The following is a 24,562-nucleotide window of genomic DNA, read 5'->3' as shown; positions in this document are numbered from 1 at the left end:
TTTGTTTGCTACTTTGAGACGGAATCTCACTTTGTCACCAGGCTGGAGTGCGGTGGTGTAATCTCAGTTCACTGCAACCTCTGCCTTCCCGGTTCAAGCGATTCTCCTGCCTCAGCCTCCTGAGTAGCTGGGATTACAGGCTGTTAGAAATGCTTGTTCCCTGGTGCCATAAAGAAATAGGACTTGAACATAAATTTAATTTCCTCAGCAAGGCCATTTGTCTTTCTGCAGAAAGTGTACACTCGCCAGCGGTTTTGCCATGACGAGTACACCAAACAAAGGAGACAGGGTCATTTATAACCTGACACGTCCACCCTACTGCTGTGTCCGATTTCCATTGGCTGGAATGGGACCTCACATTCTGTATTTGTCCCGATTGGCTAGCAACTTAGAATTTTTAAAAAGAGACAAAGGCAGAGGAGAACAAAGGAAGGAGCAAGTAACTTGTGGAATGCTGAGAAAGGTAAAAACACCTTCAAACAATGAGGAAGAACAGGCTGTGACCTAATGCTTTCTTGAACCAGTATAAGCCTGTCAGGGCAAATATTTAGGCTAAATAGTGGGAGCTAAGAACATAAAGTACATTGATTTCTTTATTACGGCTAGCAGATATTGAAGAATGTTAGCACAGATCTTTGAATAAATTTTGCTTCTAGGAGAAGTTACTATTTATTCCTAATTAGATGGGGAGGAAAGTCTCTTTGAAGAGGAACATCTACTTTACTTTTTACACAGGTGCCTGCCACTGTGCCCGGCTAATTATTGTATTTTTAGTAGACATGGGGTTTCACCATCTTGGCCAGGCTGGTCTCAAACTTCCTGACTTCATGATCGACCTGCCTTGGCCTCCCAAAGTGCTGAGATTACAGGCGTGAGTCACAGTGCCTGGCCTGATTTTTTTTTTATAGTGGTATGCTTAGATTCCTTTCTCTTTATCTTTTGTTTTTCTACTAGAGATTTTTGCTTTCTGATTACCATGAGTCTTAAATAACAATCTTGTAAAAGCTTGTTTTAAGCTGATAACCACTTAACTTTGATCACATATAAAAACTACAATTTTACTCCCCCCTTACATTTTATGTCATCGATGTCATAATTTACTCTTTTTATATTGCACATCTATTAAAAGTTATTGTAGTTATATTTATTGTTATACTCATAGAGCTGTGTCTCCTTTGTAGCACTTACCTCGTATACAATTTTATATTCTCTTATGTCATATTTGATTAGACTATGAGTTCCATGTTTCATGAAAGCACAGAATGTGACATTTTTGTTAACTATTAAATTTCCAGCACCAAGCATAGTACTTACTACAGAGTAGTTGCTTAATATATAATTATTGAATCAGTAAATCAATAGTGATTGCATTAGTGTGTAATTGGCTGTTTAATGTCCATTTTATCTCCATAAGGGCAGGAACATCTGTCTTTTTCAACAATGCATTTTTGGGGCATAATGCTAAGTAAATGATCCTCAATATAAATGTGCTGAATGAAAGAATTAATGGATGAATGAATAAAAGTGAATTGTGACTACCTAGGAACTATGGAAAAGATGAAAAGAGAGTTCAGGCAGTTGGCTTAAGGTGAGATGCAGCTTTGGCATTTAACAACCAAAGCCCAGACCATCCCCTGGCAGTGACCCACTCTCTCAGCTTTTACCTGTACTTCAACAGGGCATCCAGTACTTCAGTCTAAAGAAATTCAGTCCATCATTTAGGGCTTCCAAGGAGACCAAGGAAGAGATACATCTGAGAATGGCAGTGATATGGGTTGTCTGTGTCCCCACCCAAATCTCACCCTAAATTGTAATAATCTCTACATGTCAAGGGTGAGGCCAGGTGGAGATCACTGAATCATGGGGTGGTTCCCCCATGCTTTTCTCGTGATAGTGAGTGAGTTCTCACAAGATCTGATGGTCTTATAAGGGGCTGTTCCCCCTTTGCTCAGCACTTCTCCTTCCTGCCGGCTTGTGAAGAAGGTGCCTTACTTTCCCTTCACCTTCTGCTATGATTGTAAGTTTCCTGAGGCCTCCCTAGCCATGCTGAACTGTGAATCAATTAAACATCTTTTTTTTTTTTAATAAATTACCCAGTCTTGGGCAGTTCTTTATACCAGTATAAAAATAGACTAATACAGGTTGGGACCTTTTCATTCTGCCTTCAAGTCATACACTTTCTAGGCAGCCACTTTGTCTACCCAGCCATAGGTTCAGTCTTGACTAGAGAAGGTCTGGTGCGGATCACACTGTAGCTCCTTTCTACACAACATTTGTAACAAGTTCTGTTGTCTGGAAAGGAAAAATAAACAGAGAAACATTGAGGAAGAGTAAAGCAAATATTGATCAAGAGGGAGTTTGGGGGAATGTGAGAAGGGCAACCCCAAATTCATGTCTGGTTACTGTGGGAGAATAAGCTTTAAGATCTCACTGCAAATGGATTTCTGTTTCTATTTTTAAATTTGCTTTTCTTATTATTGCTTTGCTTTATTTTTTAGCAAAAGAGCTCTTTCCTTGTCCTGGTGTAAGAAAGTAAAGGTAGTCCTTTGGGTATAGAGCAGTGTTTCCCAAAGTTTTTGTTTCTGTTGTTTTGTAAACAGACATATGCATTTGGTGTAACTATAATACTCCCCACTTCCTACTATATTCTGGTAGATTCCTTCTACCAGAAGTTTGTGTCTCCCTGGGTAGCTACTTTACATGCTCTATGTGTTGGAATGTTTTTAGGCTTCATATATGGTATTCTTATATTACAAATATTTATTTTCTTCACTTAGCATAGTCCTGCCATCTTCAACTACATAAAGGAAAGCCAAAAGAAAGTTTTCGTGCCTGTGCTCAAGGCACTAGATTACACCGTAAGGAACAACAGGAGCAAGATATAACCTTGAAGGGAAGGTGACATTTCTGTGGACAGTCAGGGCTCCTTAACAAGCCACTCACCACTGCGCCCCATCTAGTGATTCTTCCTCCAAGTGTCTGTATTTTAATATGGTAAGAGGTGACATAGCAGGGCGTGGGGGCTCACACCTGTAATCCCAGCACTTTGGGAGGCCAAGACAGGAGGATTGCTTGAGCCCAGTAGTTCAAGGCTAGCCTGAACAACATGGTGAAACCCTGTCTCTACAAAAAATACAAAAATTAGACAGGCATGGTGGCACATGCCTGTGGTCCCAACTACTAGGGAGGCTGAGATGGAAGGATCATTTGAGCCCAAGAGGTCGAGGATGCAGTGAGCCAAGGTCACACCACTGCACTCCAGCCTGAGAACCAGAGTGAGACCCTATCTGTCTTTAAAAAAAAAAAGTGACATACATTATGAATAGAAGCACATATTTTTCATATGCAAGGTTTTTGCTCTTGTGTTGTTAACCACAGGGGAAAAAAATTGAGGCAGGAATGATACAAAACTAACATATAAGAAGCTCCAGGATTTTTTTTAATAGTTACCATCCTCTTGGGGTCTATACTTCCATTTAAATGAGCGTATCAGATAGTTTTAGTCTCCTGATGGGTTAGAACTCCTTATCGGTCAGCTTTTGTAGAAGAGGAGTAGGAACTTGAAGGAATAACATAGATGATGTTTCCCAAACTGAGGGAAAGACCCGTGGTACAGGTGCTTGATGATTATGGAATGACTGTGTGTGAAATGACACTAGACTACTCAGTGTGCAGCTAGTCATTTCAATTATCTTTCAATCCTTTTAATTAATCAAGGAGAAATTTGCACTTGAGTTCTGAGGTTCCTAACATTGCTGTAATCCTGGCATCCCCTTTAAACAAAGAGAGGTGTATTAGTCAGTTCCCGCACTATTCTAAAGAAATACTTGAAACTGGGTAATTTATAAAGAAAAGAGATTTAATTGGCTCATGGTTCTGCAGGCTGTACAGGAAGCATAGCAGCTTCTGCTTCTGGGGAGGCCCCAGGAAACTTACAATCATGGTGGAAAGTGAAGGGGGAGCAAGCAGTTCACATGGGGGGAGCAGGAGGAGGATAGAGATGGGGGAGGTGCTACACAATCTTAAACAACCAGATCTCATGAGAACTCACTCACTTCCATAAGAACAGCACCAAGGAGATGTTGCTAAACTATTTATGAAAGACCACCCCCATGATCCAATCACCTCCCACCAGGCCTCGCCTCCAACACTGGGGATTACAATTTGACATGAGATTTGGGCGGAGACAAAGATCCAAACCATAAGAAGGGGTGAGTCTTAGGTTTGGGGTCAATTACTGTATTGTTAGTATTCTTTCATTTTTTATATCTATTATTCATGTTACCATGTATTAGTAGCCAGTGGTACTAATTTTCCTGTTAGTCATTTAACCAGAGTAGGATACCCGTTTTGTGCTAGGCTCAGTTCAAGGTACTAGGGATTCAGTGCTTAACAAACACAGCTCTTCCTTTCATGGAATGTATGATAAAGTGATAAAACATTTTCTTTTAAATTACATTTAAGTTTTTAAAAGTAAGCTGTTAATTAAAGCAAAATAATTAAGCAAGTGCTATTACAACAGGTAGTTCACAAATATGACAAAAATAATAAAAGTGGCATTTATATAATTAAAATTGAAGAACTGTAGGTAAGTTATAGAATCAACATTAATTTCTTTCCTTTCTTCTTTAGCTATAAGGACATTTATTCTGTGCCCCCTGATTTTCCAGGCATTGCTTCTGATACCAAAGACAGCCAGAAGAAAGATATATTTGCTATTCTGAAAGCGCTCACAAATAGAGGGGAAAAGGTCAACATTCACCGTCCAGCATGAACACCCCGGAGGCCACTCATTCTTGCTGATGAATGTCCGTGGCAGCTTCCTGGTGGTGGAGACCACAGAGGGGATGTGGGCAGGTGTGGGGGATACGGGGGCAGAGCAGGATGCTCCAGGCATGGGAAGTGGCATGGGGAAGCCACACTAAGGCACACCATCGAGAGCCATGAATGCCATTCCAAGGACATTGAATCTTTTCCTAAAGGTATCAGGACACCACTGTGGGATTGTACAAAGAGGAATAGCATGACCAGTGTGCTCTTAGGAACATGACTCTGGCTGCTTCTTTTTGAAATTTTCATTTTCATAAGACTAAATTGATCAAAGTGTGCTGAAATTGCTGGGAACAAAAACAAGAACAAAATCTCTTTTCCCCACCCTCTCATTACTCTCCAATAGAGTGAAGTTTTCTATCTTCCTTTATCTCCCACTTTTAAATATTTTAAATATTTCCCACTTTTAAAGAGTTTGCCCAGAAACATTTTCCAAAATTAATGAGAATACTGAAAAATCATAGTTGCTTGGGTGCAACTTCAGGTTAGATTAGAGCTATGTTCATCCTTTGTTTGTTTGTTTGTTTGTTTGTTTGTTTGAGGCAAGTTCTTTCTCTGTCACCCAGGCTGGAGTGCAGGGGTGTGATCATAGCTCACTGCAGCCTCAAACTCCTGGGCTCAAATGATCCTCCCACCTCAGCCTCTTGAGTAGCTGAGACTCCAGGCACACTCTACTATACCCGGCTAATTTTTACAATTTTTTTGTAGAGATGAGATCTCGCTATGGTGCCCAGGCTGGTCTCAAAGTCCTTGCCTCGAGCAATCCTCCCACCTCACCCTTCCAAAATGCTGGGATCACAGACATGAGCCACTGCACCCAGGCAATTTTTTTAAAGAGAGAGATGAGGTCTCTCTATATTGCCCAGGCTATATATAGCCCAGTAGCTATTCACAGGCGTGATTATCACACACTGCAGTGTCAAACTCCTGGGCCCAGTAGATCCTCCCATAGGTGGGACTCCAGGCAGACGCCACCGCACCTGGCTCTCCTCACTCTTTGCAAAGACAACTCCTAATCTTGATCTCTTTGGACTGTTGGGACAAGCCTCTGATGGCTGAGGCAGGTTTCACTATTCTCACTCATTCTCTGAATGGGGAAACAGAATGCCCCAAGGGGGTGAAGCCAGGGCTCAACCCAATAGACTCTCATTTTGGTTGTTCCGCCACAGCACAGGGCCAGGAAAGATAAAGGAATGATTTGCCTTCTGGCTTTCTGGGCTTCGCAGGGTCTTTGTTCACAGTAGGTCTTCCACACCATCACATGACAGGGATCTTGGGCACATCCTCTATTTGTCTCCCTTAATGACTGTACTGCATCCTTCCACTCTATGTCCACATTGAATATCACATTTTAAAAAGGCGACTTTTATTTCACTTTTATACTCAAATGATTTTTGACAGTGATTTTTTTTTTCCTTACCCTTTCCAGGAGGGTTCGGCAATCATGGCAAAACTTGCTTCTAATAGACCCGCTTTGGTCGGGGAGTACTTTTCTTTAAGCATCTTTATGTTTTATTACCGACCTGGCATTGTAGGGTAGATGCTCTTTGCTAAATTTTTTCATCTTCATTTCCCCTCCTCTGAGAAGCAGATTATTACTCTACTAAATGCCTTGAGCAAAACTTAATTCATTCTACTGATTCACATCGGTAGAACAAGCACTGATGGGAAGGGCTGTTTGAAATGAAATCAGAACTAAAGCTTACACAGTTTAAAAAAAAAAGAAAGAAGAAAGAGAAAGGAAAAGAAATGGGCTGACATCCGCCTCTCGGTGTGAAGGGATTAAGATGGTTTTAATTATCTCACCTGGCTCTTGTTATTGCACTTATTCTTGCTTCCTCCATCTAGCTAATATGACAGCGTAAGATCTGGTGCTCTCATCTGGATTTCCCCTCTTTAGGAAAGTCGAAGAGCCCCCAGGTTAAAGAGTAACAATCACAGTTCAAAATGCTCAGAAATGTGTGACGGCAAGAGCAGAGGCTTCAGTGACTATGCTCGGTCATGTGCAAATGCTGATAATAACTGGAGACTCAGGGCTGAATATGTTACACTTTTATGAATAAAGTAAATGGGTTTCCAATGTGATCTGGAGGTGAAAAGAAGACGTGGTTATTGAAGGTATTGGTGAAATATCACGGAATGCAATCTCAGACGCGTCTTCCAGTGGGGGCCAGCTGCGTAAACACAAGAGTGAGGTGTTTGAGGGCATGGCTGTTTCTTTCATTCCACTAAAATACATGCATGCACCAACACACAAAAAAATCACTCCTACTTCTTGGCCTTTGTTCTAAGAAGATGACTGGCATCAGTTTCACATTTGCTGTTTTTCTTCTCTCAAGAACTCTGTGTGACCTGATTGAGAGCAGGGAAAGGAGTGTTCAATAGGTCTTTTTTTTTTCTTCAGTTGCTGAATACCTGAAAATTCTCCTGTGATAAAGACCCAGCCAGCATCCTCGAGTGTGGACCACGTTAAGGGAAAGCTTGAAGGAAAAGAGAGTGAGTCATATATTGCAAAGCAGAGCCAATCCAGAGAACTAGAAATTATTATTCTGATCCCAGGAGGCAGAGGAGTAAAGTAAGACCAGGGAAATGGAGACACTTGCATCTGCTTTGGAGCTGGGGTTGGTGGGCAAAGAGAGGAGCGCTTCCGGCCATTAGGGATAAGTCTGCTCAGCAGGAACCAAGCAGACTGCCTGGTGGGAGAAGGCCAGGGTGGACGGGCCTGCTGTCCTGCTCTCAGTCACTTCTGCTGGATGAGAGCTTCTGAGCTGCCGCTTTTGTTCAGGATCAATAAGCACAGTGAGAAAAGGTGATGAGTGAAAGGTGGAAGGGGCATCAGCTTCCCATAGGAGTGAACTAGGGAAGCAGTGATGGGCACTGCATCCCTATCTCAGCCCCAGATATCCAAGAACAGCCTTCTGGATGTTCTTCTTGAGGTGACTTTCCTGAGAGGTAAGCCTCGTGACTTGTGGCTGGGACAGGTCTCAAAAACCTGAGAATGCAGAGCTTCTTGGTGGACTGGTCAAGTGACTGGGGGTGGAAAATAGGATCTCCCGCCTCGAGCCGTCACAGGGCTCTCCACACTGTCAGGGAGCACCCAGAGGGATACAGAGAATCTTCCTCCCTTTGGAAACATCAAAGGGAAATCCAAGAAATTACTTCCATCTGATCCTTATAACTGCATGCCCCACTGACCAGAATAAGCATGGGACAAACACATTAGTACCCACATAAAATTGCTTTTGGAAAAGTCAGATATGATCTACTGAGCCGAATGATCATTACAAGCTGTAATCAGCATACCAAATTTCACAGTAAACGGGACATTGGCTATCCTGAAAGAAAAAAAAAATTCTACTCTGCAAAAATGCTGCCCCAGAATTGACCGAGACAATTCTCCATCTCTTTCTGTGTAGCCTCCAGGACAGTTTGATTTTGTTTTTGGAGGCATTGTTCATCTTCGTGGTCCTGCTAGTCAGGCTGAGCCAAATGAACTGATTTATGGAATCTTGGCAGTAGCCTTGGCTTCCAGCTAAAGCCGGGGATCTGCAGATTTGGCTGGCTGCTGAGGGGCAGTCTGGGTATATCTCTGTTATCAGGGTTTACACAGATAAGCAATGTAAATCAATAAAATGAAAGTAACGTGCCGGGCATGGTGGGTAATGCCTGTAATCCCAGCACTTTGGGAGGCTGAGGCGGGTGGATCACTTGAGGAAAGGAGTTCGAGACCAGCCTGGCCAACATGGTGAAACCCCACCTCTACCAAAAATGCAAAATTCAGCCAGGTGAGGTGGTGCATACCTGTAATCCCAGCTACTTGGGAGTGCTGAGGCAGGAGAATTGTTTGAACCTAGGAGGCAGAGGTTGCAGTGAGCCAAGATCATATCTCTTGCCTGGGCAACTGAGTGACTCTGTCTCAAAAAAAAAAAAAAAAAAAAAAAGCAAATAAAGGGAGTGGTCTTGATCTGGTTACCATTCCAGAGTCAATTTCCAGCAAATGCAAGGCTGCTAAATCCCAATGGTGAAGATCTTATGAATTCTGTGGGCTCTGTCCAGAGGAAAGAAACAAATAGTTTCTAGTAACCTATGGAAACAAGAAAGGGACCTTGTAAAATTAGACTATGAAATTTAAGGACCCTCAATGTGCTTCTGAAAGACAGAGCACTATTTTGCTCTGAATCCTTCATGAAATTACAAAAATATTCAACCAGAGCAAAAGAAACCTCCCCATTTTTCAATACAATCCCCTTGACTATTGAGAGACAGGACTAGCTGGATTTCCTAGGCCGACTAAGAATCCCTAAGCCTAGCTGGGAAGGTGACCGCATCACCTTTAAACACGGGGCTTGCAACTTAGCTCACACTCGACCAATCAGGTAGTAAAGAGAGCTCACTAAAATGCTAATTAGACAAAAACAGGAGGTAAAGAAATAGCCAATCATCTATTGCCTGAAAGCACAGTGGGAGGGACAATGATTGGGATATAAACCCAGGCATTGGAGCCAGCAACAGCTACCCTCTTTGGGTCCCCTCCCTTTGTATGGGAGCTCTGTTTTCACTCTATTAAATCTTGCAACTGCCCACTCTTCTGGTCCCTGTTTGTTACGGCTTGAACTGAGCTTTCGTTCACCGTCCACCACTGCTGTCTGCCGCCATCGCAGACCTGCCACTGACTTCCATCCCTCTGGATCCAGCAGGGTGTCCGCTGTGCTCCTGATCCAGCGAGGCACACATTGCTGGTCCTGATTGAGCTAAAAGCTTTCCATTGTTCCTGCACTGCTAAGTGCGCAGGTTCGTCCTAATTGAGCTGAACACAGTCACTGGGTTCCACGGTTCTCTTCTGTGACCCACAGCTTCTAATAGAGCTATAACACTCACTGCATGGACCAAGATTCCATTCCTTGGAATCCGTGAGGCCAAGAACCCCAGGTCAGAGATCAGGAGGCTTGCCACCATCTTGGAAACGGCCCACCGCCATTGTGGAAGCGGCCCACCACCATCTTGGGAGCTCCAGGAGCAAGGACCATCTGGTAACACTATGATTTCTAAATGTTGACATCTAGGAAGAAAAACAGAGTACCCATAGTAAAAAGTCCAGCAGGGCAAGCTTGACACATTCTGGGCATGCAGGAGTCTGATGGATGTCTAACTCCTGCACTGGCTGAGTTCTAATGAGGCAGGAACCGTTGGTAGACTTATTGAGTAATAGCATATCCCATCTCTGAGGGCACCTCCCAGGACAGAAGCTCCCACCACTGTCCATAGTGACCATCAGCCCAGCTTTGACAGCTCTAGTCATTAGAAAGTCCCTCCTTTTGTTAAGCTCTGATTAGCTAGCTGTGCCCCCCACCCCTTCTCAAAGCAGACATGAATTTTAAAATGTCTTTGCCCTGGAGCAAAAAGAATTCAGAAATAAATACTGGATTTGTCAAATTGAGATAAAAGGTTGATATGTATTCTCGACTGGCAATAGAAACAAATGTGCCCCATATATTCATGCTCATAAAAACATAGCTTCAGCCAATCTGAGCATTACATCAAGTTGAACCATATGAAATTGCCAATTTTGTTAGTCACACATGATTGACAATTGGCTACTTTTACATGATCCAACCTCCAACATGACAGTTAAGAGCACAGACTTTGGAGTCAGCTCTGCCACTTACCAGCCATGATAGTGGGCAAGTTACTAACTATTCTATCTTCATTTCCTCACCTAATAGGATTTATCTCATAGTATTAATCCTATTCTCACAACGCTTGTAAAAAGTGAATGAGTTAATACAAGTAATGCATTTAAAAGCGTTCTTGGCATATAGAAATAATTATTCATTCTCTTTTCATAGGACTTTGCGGACCCCAATTAAATAGTTTACCCTAGAAGAATAGAACCTATTTGGGGTGGGGTGAGTGGCTGCAAGAGGGACGTTTCCCCAGGACATCATGCACAAAAGGGGCTTCAAATGTAGTCTTTTGACTTATCTCCAAATGAAGGTAAATATACAGTAGATTTATGAATTATTGATTCATAATAAGTTATTAATTATTAACACTTAAATTTATCACAATATTTAGAGACTTGTTTTGGCATATCTTTCTTATTTAATACATTTGAATCTCAAAAAAACATACAACTGGCTCAAGCTTCTCAATCTCTGAAAGGCAGTAGACAATGGAACCGCTCAATGCCATTAACTTCTCTGTATTTCTCCTATTGAAAATACGAAAGGAGAACGAATGGTAAAAGGTAAAGGTAGCCGACTCCTCCCTTGTTAGAGACCTTGACCTCCACAAATAGGTTATTTCTACCTCCAGCTCAATGATCAGTTCAAGATTTTAGGGGTCTGTGGTCATGTGCACCATTGAGTAGTTTCTAGCACTGTCCGTGCCAAGAAAGGCAACCACGAGCTAATTCCCAAAATGTTTGTCAAAAGCCTTATTGAGAGAAGTCATATTTAGCAAAAAATAATTGGAGATCATACAGTATTCCATGTTCTCAGATGCTCTAAAATCTAACCATGGATTATGGCAGCTTGGTAAAGAACTGATGATTTATGTAGAATTGTAATGACTATCCCCAAATAGCTTCACTGAATTATGGACCTGTGTAATGGGTCAGTATGAGAGACAGTCCAGTGAAAGTCTTTGTTGGGTCTACTATGACAATATTGTTGCTGTTTCAAATGATGTCCACTTTATGCACAGAAGAAAATTCTTACTTCATCCTGGAACTGAGAAGTCAATTTTGTAAATTATTAGACTTCTGTTTTCAAGATAGCACTTAGAAACCTGAGAAACAAAAGCACAGTCCATTAAATACAAGTCAATTTTAAATAAAATTATTTAATAACCTTAAGATTATTACTACAAGTTCCATTTTATGTCTCCATCATTATTTTATTTTCTGTTACTTAAAAAAATTAGTCTATTGGTGTATAATATATATACAACAAAATTCACCAATTTGAAGTATAAAATTCAATGAGTTTTGACAAATGCATAAAGTTGGGTAACTACTACCTGTCAGAGCAGGAGCATCACCATTTTGGACAAGCACTGCCATTTTAAGCTTCACCTTGATCAAAAACTGCCTAAATCCAAAGGGCATCAGCCTAATGGCTAAGATCAGCATGACCATAAACCACAAATAACATCCCCTACCAGAGACATGCCAACCCTGAGATAACCTCCCTTCCGGCCGGAAAGATGTCAGCCCCAAGATAACCTTCCCTCCACCCAGAGACATTCCAACCCTGTCAAAAACTTCTGCCCAACACAGAAACATTCCAAGCTTGTGATAAGCCCCGTCACCCTAAAACCAATATATACTGTTAGTCTGTAAGAGATAGTGCTCCTGACGGAAATTGGCCAGAAGCCCCTCTCAGGTTTATTCCCCAAAATAAACCTGTCTTTGACTGTTGAGCTGCTTTCTGTGTTCTTTCCTCTTTCTTTAACACCTATACCACCACCCTCATGATATACAGAACATTTCCATCATCCCCCCATTTCCCAGTGCTCATGTGTTGACAGTCTCCTTCCCCCAGCTCCAGGCCCTGGGAACCACTGATCTGCTACTCTAGTTTTGTCCTTTCTAGAATTTCACATCAATAAAATCATATAGTCTTTTGTGTCCGAACTCTTTCAGTTAGAATAATTGTTGTGAGATTTATCTGTGTTGTTGGGTATATTGGTAGTTCATTCCTTTTTATTGCTGAGAAGTAATTCCATTGTGTGACTATGCAGATATGCCAAAATTTAGGTTGATTCTAATTTGGGGCTACTATAAATAAAGCTGCTATGAACATGAATTCACTAGTCTGTGTGAATATATATTTTCCTTTATTTTGGGTAAATGCCTAGGTGTGAGATTGCTGGATTAAATGGCACCTGTATGTTTAACTTTATATGAAACAGCCAAATTGTTTTCCAAAGTGGTTGCACCATTTTGCATTTACTAGCAATACACAAGCATTCCAGTGGCTTCACATCCTTGGCAATACTTGGTATTGTTAGACTTTTTAATTTTAGATATTCTAGTGCATATGTAGTAGGATTTTATTGTGGTTCTAATTAGTATTTCCCAATGGCTATCAATATCAAACATATTTTCATGTTATTTGCCATTCATATATTTTCTTTGGTGAAATATCAGTTCAAAATTTTTGCCCTTCTTTTTTTTTAAAAAAAATGAAATTGGGCTGTGGTCTTCATATTATTGATCCGTAAGAGTTCTTTATCTATTATGCATATATTCTGGATATATGTTTTGCAAATATTTTCTCCCTGCCTGTGAATTTTCTTTTCATTGTCTTCGCAGTGTATTTTCAAAAGCAAAAGTTTTAAATTTCTTTCTTTTTCTTTTTTTTTTTTTTTTCCCAGACAGGGTCTGGCTCTGTCACCCAGGCTGGAGTGCAGTGGTGCAATCTCGGCTCACTGAAAACTCTGCCTCCTGGGCTCAAGTGATCCTTCCACCTCAGCCTCCCAAGTAGCTGGGACTACAGGTGTGTGCCAGCTAATTTTTTTTTTAACTTTTTTTAGAGAGGAGGTTTCACCATGTTGCCCAGGCTGCTCTTAATCTCTTGAGCTCAAGCGATCTGTCCGCCTCAGCCTCCCAAAGTGTTGGTATTACAGGCATGAGCCACTGAGCCCAGCTGCTTAAATTTCAGTTAAGTTTAATTTATCAAAATTTTCCTTCGTGATTTTTATGTTCTTAGAAATCTTTGCCTAACCCAAGGTAACAAGAAAACAAAATTTCCATATCCTCATCTGGAAATTTTATAGTTTTGATTTGTTATTTAGATCTATGATCCATTTTGAGTTAATTTTTGTATGTAGTGTGAGGTAAGAATCAAAGTTCATTTTTTGCACCTCGATATCCAATTGTTCCAGCATCATTTGTTGAAAAGAATCTCTCTCCCTATTGAGTGATCTTTGCACTGTTTTGAAAACCAACAGATCACACTTGTTCAAGCCATGGCCCATGGGCTGCATGCAGCCCAGGATGGCTTTGAATGTAGCCCAATAAAAATTCATAAACATTATGCAATTTTTTTTTTAGCTCATCAGTTATCATTAGAATTAGTGTATTTTATGTGGGACCCAAGACAATTCTGCCACATTCTGCCAGTGTGGCCCAGGGAAGCCAAAAGTTTGGACACCCCTGCGATAGGCCATGTAGACAGGGGTCTATTCCTGGATTCTGTACTGTTAGGCTGATTTCATTAATTTATGTGTACAGTTATGCACTGTATGTCATTTTTGCCAATGACAGACTGCATACTGGATGGTGGTCCCATAAGATTATAATACCATGTTTTTACTATACTTTCTTTTATGTTTAGGTATATGTAGATAAACAAATACTTACCATTGTGTTCCCATTGCCTACAGTATCCAGTACAGTAACATGATGAACAGGTTTGTAGTCTAAGAGCAATAAGCTAGACCTTATAGCCCAGGTATATAAGAGGCTCTACTGTCTAGGTTTGATAAGTGCACTCTATGATGTTCACACATACAAAATCAACAACAAAATCACCTACATATTTCTGAACATATCCTCATCGTTAAGCAATGCATGACCTTATATGTGATTGCTGTAGTCTTGAAATTAGGTTGTCTAAGTCCTTCAGCTTTGTTCCTTTTCTGAATCATTTTAGGTATGCTAGGTCCTTTACTTTTCTGTTTACATTTCAGAATTAGCTTGTCAATTAAAAAAAAAATTTCACATAGGACTTTGATTGAACTTACATTGACTTTCTATGGTAGCCATAAAATTGTGGCTTGCAGAGCTCCCACTATAAGGAGTGCAACCAGTGCCCCAGATGCTATGCTTTGAGATACATTGCTTTATTTTGGCCGGGGCCACACCTTACTTGGTCAAGACTGCTCCCTTGTCAAGGACTGAGCGTGGCAGGGCTACAAAAGCAGATTCATTTCTGGGAGACATTAAACTCCTCTTTTGGCAATGTAAACTCAAGGAATCCCTGCTGGCTTTGTTGAAGCTTCCTTAGACTGCATGACAGTCTAGGACAGTTCCACCCAACATTCTCTCCCTCTCATCTTCACTTAGATTCACACTTGCCTCCTAGCCTGACATCTTTCCCAGCCTTTTCCAGCTCTCACCCTCATTTTCTTTTCAAAAGCATCTTCCTTAATAAAATCCTTGAATATTACTCCTGTCAATGTCAGCTTCTCAGAGGATCTGGGTTAACACAAGTGGTACCAAGAGTGGTTTGAGAAAACAGACAGCAAGGTGGAGTTGTAAAATTAACTCACCTACTTGGCAGGTCAGAAGCACGTGTATGGTCCTGGTAACAAGATGCAGTCCAACTGCTAATATTTCACTGGTAGGGGGGCCTTGAAAATGTTCCTGTCAGGGCAAATGCTGCGATGGGTGTGATGATATCTGCATTTGGAAATATGAGGGAAACTTCTTATAAGTATAGTGCAATTGGGCCAGGTACAGTGGCTCACGCCTGTAATCCCAGCACTTTGGGAGGCCAAGGTGGGTGGATTACAAGGTCAGGAGATCGAGACCATCCTGGCCAACATGGTGAAACCCTGTCCCTACTAAAATACACAAAATTAGCTGGTGTGGTGGTGTGCGCCTGTAATCTCAGCTACTCAGGAGGCTGAGGCAGGGGAATTGCTGGAGCCCGGGAGGTGGAAATTGCAGTGAGCCAAGTTCGCACCACTGTACTCAAGACTGGCAACAGAGCAAGACTCTGTCTCAAAAAAAAAAAAAAAAAAATATATATATATATATATATGTATATAGCACAATTGGCTGGCTAAGGCTAAGTGCATTGACTGCATGTTAGTGGGGAATGAGAGACTGAGAGCCATTATTATGCACTTAATAGCTAAGTGTGGGAAACATAGAGACTGCAGTGGTAATGGTGGTTGCATATAAAGAACTCTTTACCACCTATAGCTGAAGGGCAGGCACAATAAAAGGCAAGCTCAAGACCTAATTATGAGGATCTCAGAGCACCAGAGATATTAAACACTCCTTTAAGCAGGAAATCTGGAGAGATGTCCTTAGTGATGCTGAATCTACAACATTCCCACCCCCATCCTCTGGGCATGGATGGGTGGCCCATCTTTCCCTAGTAAGAGCTAGCACTTTGACCATACTGAAAGATGCTGCAGAATCTTCCTCACCAAAAGACACAGACACAGCCCTTGAGACCTGTCTCTATCTCCATTCCTGCTCCCAGACTGATAGAGTGAAATTCTAAGATAACACATATATAGTCAGCGTGTGCCCTGTAAGGCAAGAAAGAGATCTACACAGAAAGAAATAAGACGTGGTGGGGCATGGTGGCTCATGCCTGTAATTGCAGCAATTTGAGAGGCTGAGGCAGGAGGATCCCTTGAGCTCAGGAGTTTGAGATAATCCTGGGCAACATAGGGAGATCTCATCTCTACTGAAATTCAAAAAAATTAGCTGGGCATGATGGTGCAGCTACTTGGGGGTTGAGGCAGGAGGATCATTTGAGCCTGGGAAGTGTAAGAGTTAAAGAAAGAGGAAAGAAACACAGAATGCAGCTTAACCGTCAAAGACAGGTTTCTTTTAGAGAAAAACCCGAGAGGGGCTTCTGGACAATTTTGGTCAGGAGCGCTTTCTCTTACAGACTAAGAGTATATATTGGTTTTAGGGTGAGGGGCTTATTACAAGCTTGGAATGTTTCTGTGTGGGGAAGATGTTTATGACGGGGTTGGAATGTCTCTGGGTGGAGGGAAGGTTATCTTGGGGCTGACATCTTTCCAGCAGGAAGTGGGTTATCTCAGGGCTGGCATCTTCCCAGCCAGAGGTGAGTTATCTTAGGGCTAGCATGTTTCTGGTTGGGGAGGAGTTTGGAATGCTTCTGGTCAGAGATGTTGTTTGTGGTTTATGGTCATGCTGACCTTAGCTATTAGGCTGATGCCTTTGGATTTAGGCGGTTTTTGATTCAGGTGAATTTAAAAATGACAGTGCTTGTCCAAGATGGCAATACTCCTGCTCTGTCAGGAAGTAGAGGCTGCAGTGAGTCCTGATCATGCCACTGCACTCCAGCCTGGGCGATAGAGTGACACCCTGTTGAAAAAGAAAAAAGAAAGGAGACAACTATCCGATATGTACTGGCAGTACCATGGAAATACTCCTGGGGTTAGACTTGAGGGTTTTTGGTTGAGGAAGCTAGAATGTTAAGCTGGATAACCAAGAATTCATTGATTTGGGAGCATTTTCTCAGGATATAGTTTTTATCACCCTAGCAAAGCCCCAGGGGATAGGACAAACTAATTTGATGGGAGTGGCTCCTACAAGCCAGGAAAAAATGATGGGCAAGCCTCAGCAAAGGAGAGATGTCTAAGCTTCCTTCATAGACAGCAAGGGAAAGAATGAAGAGCCTAATAAGCATGAATGTGTTCCAATAAAACATTATTTACAAAAACTCACGATGGGCTGGATCTGACTGTAGTTTGCTGAACACTGCCCCTGACAGCAGCCAACCAAGGTGCCACTTGATATCTCTAATTTAAAAAGAAGAACAAAGTTAGAATGGAGGAGTCAAAGTCTGAAAGCAGTTGCCCCAGTAACAAGTTACCATTTGGTGGTTGGTCCCCATGCCGGAGCCAATTTTCAGACCTGGAGCCCTTTGACTAAGAGGTAGCCAGGTCCTACAGGATCCTGTAACATCATGACAAGTAGATCCTGTGACACTTCTCTAGTTCTTCTGCAAAGTGACCTATAGCCATTTATTTAGGTGACCATACCCTGTGGAAAGGGAGGAAAAAGCAGATACTTCAAGAACTAATTGGCTACAGAGTCTGAGTCGACATTGGTACTCAGAGACCCAAGATATCATTGTGGCTCTTGGTCAGCATGGGGCCCGCAGGAACTAGGTAGTAATAACCACGGTCCTGGCTAAAGTTCAGCTCACAGTGGGCCCCTAGGTCCACGGACTTGCCTGTTGCCATTTTCCAATTCCTAAGCATATAAGTGGAATCGATGCCTTTGACTATTGGAGTAATCCCACATTGTGTCCCTGGTCTGTAGAGTAAGATTTTTTTATAATTAAGAAGGCCAAATGGAATTCACTGATACTCTGAGCAGATGACAGAGATTAGTGACCTGAAAGATGTAGGAGCATTGGTTTCTGTCATTTCTCAGTTTAATTTGCCAGGCTGGTCCCTGGAGAAACCATATTGGTCCTGGGGAATGACTTAAGAGCACCACAGGCTTAACCAAGCTATAGCCATCCTGGAAGTTGCTTGCCAATTCTGGTGTTACTGAAAAAGCAGATTAATCTCAGCTACATGGGATAAAGTCATCAGCTGGCAAAGTGTATTCTTCTTCACTTCAATTAGGAAAAAGTATCAGAGGCTGAGTGCAGTGGTTCATGCCTGTAATCCCAACACTTTGGGAGGTTGAGTTGGGAGGATTGCTGGAGCCCAGGAGTTCGAGACCAGCCTGGACAACATAGTGGGACCCTGTCTCTACAAAAAATTTACAAAAAAAATAGCCGGGAGTTGTGGCACCCACCTGTAGTCCCAGCTAATGGGGAGGCTGAGGTGAGAGGATTGCTTGAGTCCAGGAGGTTGAGGCTGCAGTGAGGTATGATTGAGCCACTGCACTCCAGAGTGACACCCTGTCACAAAAAAATCAAAAACAAAACAAAAAAAAAAAACAAGAAGAGGAAGAAGAGAAGAGAAGAAGAGAAAAAGAATGAGAAACACTTCATGTTGATGTGAAAAGGACAATGTTCACTTATAGTTTTTCCCGAGGGCTATATTAGTCCTCCTGCTCTGTCATAACACAGTGTGAAGAGGTATGGACCATTCCCCAGTCACACCAACCATCTTATCAACATCATGCTGCTTGGACAGGATGAGCAAGAAACAGCAGTGCCCTGGAGGCCTTGGAAAGTCACCTGTGCTCTAGAGGGTGGGAGAGAACCCTACGAAGATCACTGGACAATTCAGTGAAGGTTTTAGGGGGTCCTCTGATCAGGGTCATGCTGGGATATACTTTAAAAAAAATGCACATTTCGACATCTTGAATTCTTCACGCAGGAAAAGAAGTGTGGTACCTAGTGAGCCACTTTAGAATCTGGTGGCCACATATTCCAACCTGGGAAAACTGATCCAGCCCATGTACCAGGTAACAAAAAAGGCTGCCAGTTTGCACAGCACTCAGAGTGGGAAAGAGCACTGCTTCAGGTCCGGGCCATGAAGCAATCAGCCCTGCTGTTGGGATCATCTGATCAGGCAGATCCTATGGTTTGGGAAGTGACAGTGGGGAAGGCATGATGCAGTATGAAACTTATGACAAGCTCCAGTAGAAGATTCACAACACAGGCCCCTGTGATTCTGAAGTGAAGCCAGGTCATCCTCAGCAGAGAGTGACATGCCTTGGGAATCAGTCCCTGTGCATCACTGGGCCCTGATAGCATTGGAACACTTAGCTATGGGACAGCGGGTGACCATGTGTTTAGAACTTCCATTTATGAACTGCGTTCTGTTAAACCTTCCAAGTCCTAAAGCCAATGAGCTCAGAAAGTCCACTCTAAGATGAAAATGGAGCATCTGGGATCAAATTAGAGCAAGGCCAGCAGGCACATGTCAGTTGCACGAGCAGGTAGCCCAAACCCCCATGTCACTCACTGCAGTTGCACTAGTGCACTTACTCCCTATGACCAGCTCGAGGAGGAGGAAAATGTTTAAACGTTCAAGGTTGATGACCAGCCTGAGCAACATAGCAAGACCCGATCTCTACAAAAAAAATTTTTTTTTAATAAACTGGGCATGGTGGTGCATATCTACAGTCCTAGCTACTCAGGAGGCTGAGGAGGGAAGATTGCCTGAGCCCAGGAGTTGGAGGCTGCAGTGAGCTATGATTGCACTTCTGCACTTTAGTCTGGGCCACAGAGAGAGACTCTGTCTCTTAAGAAAAGAGAAAGTTTCAGCTGGGCGCGGTGGCTCACGCTTGTAATCCCAGGACTTTGGGAGGCCGAGGCCGGCGGATCACGAGGTCAAGCGATGGAGACCATCCTGGCCAACGTGGTAAAAATACAAAATACTAAAATACTAAAATACAAAATACTAAAATACAAAAATACTAAAAATACAAAAATCAGCTGGGTGTGGTGGCGTGCACCTGCAGTCCCAGCTACTTGGGAAGCTGAGTCAGGAGAATCACTTCAACCCTGTAGGCAGAGGTTGCAGTAAGCTGAGATCGTGCCACTGAACTCCAGCCTGGCGACAGAGTGAGACTCTATCAAAAAAAAAGAAAAGTAAGAAAGAAAGAAAAGAGAAAGTTTCAAAGTTGGTCTATAGATGACTTGGTTCAGTATGTGGGGGCAAGCCAAAAATGAACAGGAGTTGCATTATAGCCACATTCATGGGTGATTGGATGGTGGAAAAAAAATGTTCTCCCAATGGGCAAACCTTTCAGCAGCACACCTGAAATTGCCAGAAGTGAGAATACATTCAGATCTCTGGATGGTGGCATAGAAGGAAGTGCGCTAAATGATTGGGACAAGGGGTTCTGGAGGAGGGACATGTGCATAAGAAAATGGGAGTTGGCACAAAGCATGAAGATGTTGGTATCGTGTATGAATGCCCAGAAAGCATCCACCCACCATGGAAATGGCACTGAGTAACCACGTAGATAAAACGACTTGACTGGTTGACATTTGTCAGCTTTATCACCAGCCACCCAGAGCTGCCATGATAGGCCCATGAGCATCATGGCCTTGGTGGCAAAGACAGAGGTTACCAATGAGCCCAGCAGCATGTGCTTCACTCACCAAGGTCTGTTTCACTACTGCTGTTTTGGAGGGAATGCCCAGCTTGTCAGCAACAGACACCAGCACTGAGCCCTTACCATGGCACGGTTCCCCAGGGGACCAACAGATGCTTTAGCAGTGAGTTGACTCTATTGGCTCTTCCCGTCTTGGAGGGGCTGGAGGTTTGTCCTCATAGGGATGGGCACCTCCTCTGGGTATGCGATCACCTCTCCCACTTGCAGAGCCTCAGCTGTCCAGGCAGCTCTAGAAAGCTCATGCTGGCTGTTGAATGGAAACTGGGCTGTATTGAGCCAGGTTGAAGACCAGGAGGCCATGGAAGGAGACACTGCAACAGCCCAGTTAAGAGTTGATAAGAAATGATGGCTGGGTGACAGTAGAGATGGTGAAATAATAGGATTCAAGTTTAAAATAACGAAAAGGTAAACAATGTGTTATGATAAAAGCTTACTTTCTTCTAAGGCATCTTAGACCCACCTTTCTACATTTTAATGGACAATACGTTCTCTCTGATTTTCCTCTGATCCAATGAATCCTTTGATAAAATTGCAAACAATGTTTTAGGGTCCCGCAGACACAAAGAAAGCAGGGTGAGTATCTAGTGGCATTGTGCCCAGAAAGGGTGTTACTTTTGGCAAAATGAACCAGAGCAGTTTCCAAAGTAGTATTTATTCTTTTTAAAATTATGCACACAACAAATGTCTGGGTGAGCCGACTTCTCTAACCCATGTACTAATGTGTGGGTAGGCTTATAATTTGGGGCACTCACTCAGGAAATTCTGAAATTAAGGTTCTTTCAGAAGTGTTGACTCATCCCCTCCACACTTTCTGAATATATCCATTTAACACACTAATTAGTAATTCTAAATTGCATTCTAAATTCTGCAGGTGATTTTCTGATGAAATGTTGCTTCGCTAATTCTGGTGGGTGTTGTTTAGAATTTGCTTCTGCATTGAAAATAGCTTTCATTTTGCTTTTGATAAAAATGGAAACTATTAGAAAAGGTCCATCCAACTGGATATGACACTGTGACTCCATCACAGTCTACTAGTCTATGAGGTTTGCATTCAAATACGGCACTCATGCATCTGTTTTTCGCCTTTGAAGAAAGCAAGTCCTTGGTACAGGAGAGTTTATGAGAAAATCATTGTTTTTAAATATCTATGTGCAATGCCCAAGAAACATACATTTAATGTACTAGACAGTACACAGGATATACTCTGTACCATGTATGTATTTAATCCACCATTTAGTAGTTTCCTGAGACTGATCAATTTTCTACCATCAATGCCTACTGCTTGATGTCAAACTTTAATTCTAATTTAAAACTAATGATTTCAAATCTTAAACAAAAGTAGGTATTCCTCACTAGGAGGCATTTACATAGATCTTTAAGTGATGCACAAAGAAAGAGTAGGTTTTTGTTTTTTCTTTTTTCTTTTTTTTTTCAGATTTCTATGTTGGATGCATGTAGAAAGCTTTCATATTGAAGCAGAGTTTTCAGTGAAGTTGGAAAAAGAAGAACAAAGGTGAAGATATCCACTTAGCAACTCTCATCATTTGTGTGTCACCATGGCTTCAGAGACAGGGATACACATTTAGTATGAAAAGGAGGCTTGGAGGTTAGCGGAGAGTTGGTGGTGGTATAGAGTAAGAAGACCTTTTCAAAGTTTGCTTTCTTGAAGAGCACTAGCTTCCCTGGCATGGCCAATGGGGTGTTTGCTGTTCAGTAGCTATAACTTAAAGTGCTTAAAACCACAAGATTTACTGCTCCTAAAGGTACCGAATACAGCTATTCAGTATGCATGCACATTTGTTTACAGTTCTTCAGTGCTGAGGTTATAAAACAATATGGACCCTCAAATCTCATGGAAAAACCAGTCTAATACCATGTTAGAGAAAAAAGAGAGTGGATGCAAATGGTTAAATTAGGTACTCTTGAGGGACCAAGTGTCCTATCACACATGTATGAATCTATGCTGTCAATTACTCTCATTGTTTCTTCACTAAAACCTCCCTTTCAGAAGTTTATGAAAGAGGAATTTAAGATTCAACTTTGGAGTAAGATTACATGACTCTTAAGATCCATTTCAGGGCCGGGTGCGGTGGCTCATGCCTGTAATCCCAGCACTTTGGGTGACCGAGGTGGGTGGATCATGAGGTCACACGTTTGAGACTAGCCTGACCAACATGGTGAAACCTCATCTCTACCAAAAATACAAAAATTAGCCGGTCGTGGTGGCACGTGCCTATCATTTCAGCTACTCAGGAGGCTGAGGCAGGAGAATCGCTTGAACCTGGGAGGCGGAGGTTGCAGTGAGCCGAGATTGTGCCAATGCACTCCAGTCTGGGCGACAGAGCAAGACTGCAACTCAAAAAAAAAAAAAAAAAAAAAGATCTGTTTCAAACCCAAGGTTCTATGAAGCCATAAAAATGATGCTTGTGGCCACATTTTGGTTATACTTCTTGCTGCCATAGTCCTTTTATGCCCCTCTCACTTTTTCACAGAAAAAAAAGGTTTATGAAATATGTAGATGTTTTATTTTCTACATTAATATTTATTACCTACAAGTTATGTGACACCGAATAGTTTGTAGCTCCTTATCCAGGACCCATATTCCCAAACCTGCAGAATCAGGACATGTGTTTTGCATGTGAGTATCAACATGATAGTGTATTTGAAATTTCAACATATGGCTAAGAAATCTCTCAAGTCTTCCTTCTCTCCTAAATCTCTCCTTTTCTGGGTCTCCTTGTCTTATTCCCCACCTGTACCTGTTTCCATAAAACCCTCCCAGCACCAGTTTCTTCTGAACCCCATCAACACACACACACACACACACACACATGCACATACACACATGTATTCACACATACACACATGTACACATACATATATACACACACATCTACACGCATACACACACAGTGATATCTCATGATACCACCATGCAAAACACCGGTGTCCTGATTCTGCAGATTTGAGAACATGGGTCCTGGATAAAGAGCTACAAACTATTGGGTGTCAAATAATTTGTACGTAATAAATGTCAATGGAGAAAATAAAACATCTAAATCTTTTATAAACCTTTTCTCTCATATTAAGACTGAGATGTTTTAGCAAAGGAATCTGTGAGCTCATTGAAGATGGGAACGACACATCAACTTTTGGTGTCCTCCAAAGTGGAGAACTTTTTTTTTTTTTGAGATGGAGTCTCACTCTGTTGTCCAGGCTGGAGCGCAATCTCAGCTCACTGCAACCTCTGTCTCCTGGGTTTGAGCAATTCTCCTGCCTCAGCCTCCTGAGTGCTAGGACTACAGGCACGCACACCCACACCCAACTAATTTTTGTGTTTTTAGTAGAGACAGGGTTTCACCATGCTGGCCAGGCTGGTCTCGAACTCCTGACCTCAGGTGATCCACCAACCTCAGCCTCCCAAAGTGCTGGGATTACAGACGTGAGTCACCGTGCCTGGCCCAAAGTGGAGAACATTTCTAATGCTCCTTTGGGGGAGAAGAGAAACCAAAAGGTTAAAAAAAAAGTCGGTGAATTTTTTCTTTCCAAGAATTCAGTTAAAAGATAAATCTTAATACTTAGGGCCTTAAGAACTAGAACTTAGGACCTAGCATCAATGGATATATTTTCAGTTTTAAATAAATTTATTTATTAGTAAGTTTATTCACAGGTGCCATTCTGAATAGCACAGCAGAAAGTTTGTCAAAAAGTTTTTTTTAGGAAAAATTTTATTGAAATATATGCATACAGAAGAGTGCATTAATCATAAGTGTATATAGCCATTGAATTTTCACAAAGTTAATGGCCCGTATCACTGTATCAAGAAAACAGGACATTACCAGGTCCCTAGTCCCTTCCACCTTGATCCCTCGCAGTCATTGAGTCCTACAAAAACAGACCACTTTCCACACTCCCCTCATC

General features: G+C 42.1%; 1 long non-coding RNA gene across 1 annotated transcript; it reads left to right on the top strand.

The window, feature by feature from the left end:
• The first annotated feature begins 415 nt into the window (after positions 1-415).
• LINC02628 (long intergenic non-protein coding RNA 2628) lies at positions 416-22,434 on the top strand. Its single transcript, NR_187516.1, has 4 exons — positions 416-463; positions 7,235-7,326; positions 10,677-10,824; positions 22,077-22,434. It is a non-coding gene; the product is annotated as a long intergenic non-protein coding RNA 2628 (long non-coding RNA).
• The last annotated feature ends 2,128 nt before the right edge of the window (positions 22,435-24,562 follow it).

This window comes from Homo sapiens, chromosome 10 (genome assembly GCF_000001405.40).
Source record: "Homo sapiens chromosome 10, GRCh38.p14 Primary Assembly".
Taxonomy (NCBI): domain Eukaryota; kingdom Metazoa; phylum Chordata; class Mammalia; order Primates; family Hominidae; genus Homo; species Homo sapiens.
The sequence above is the reverse complement of the archived record's forward strand: the minus strand, read 5'-3'. Positions and strand labels throughout refer to the sequence as shown.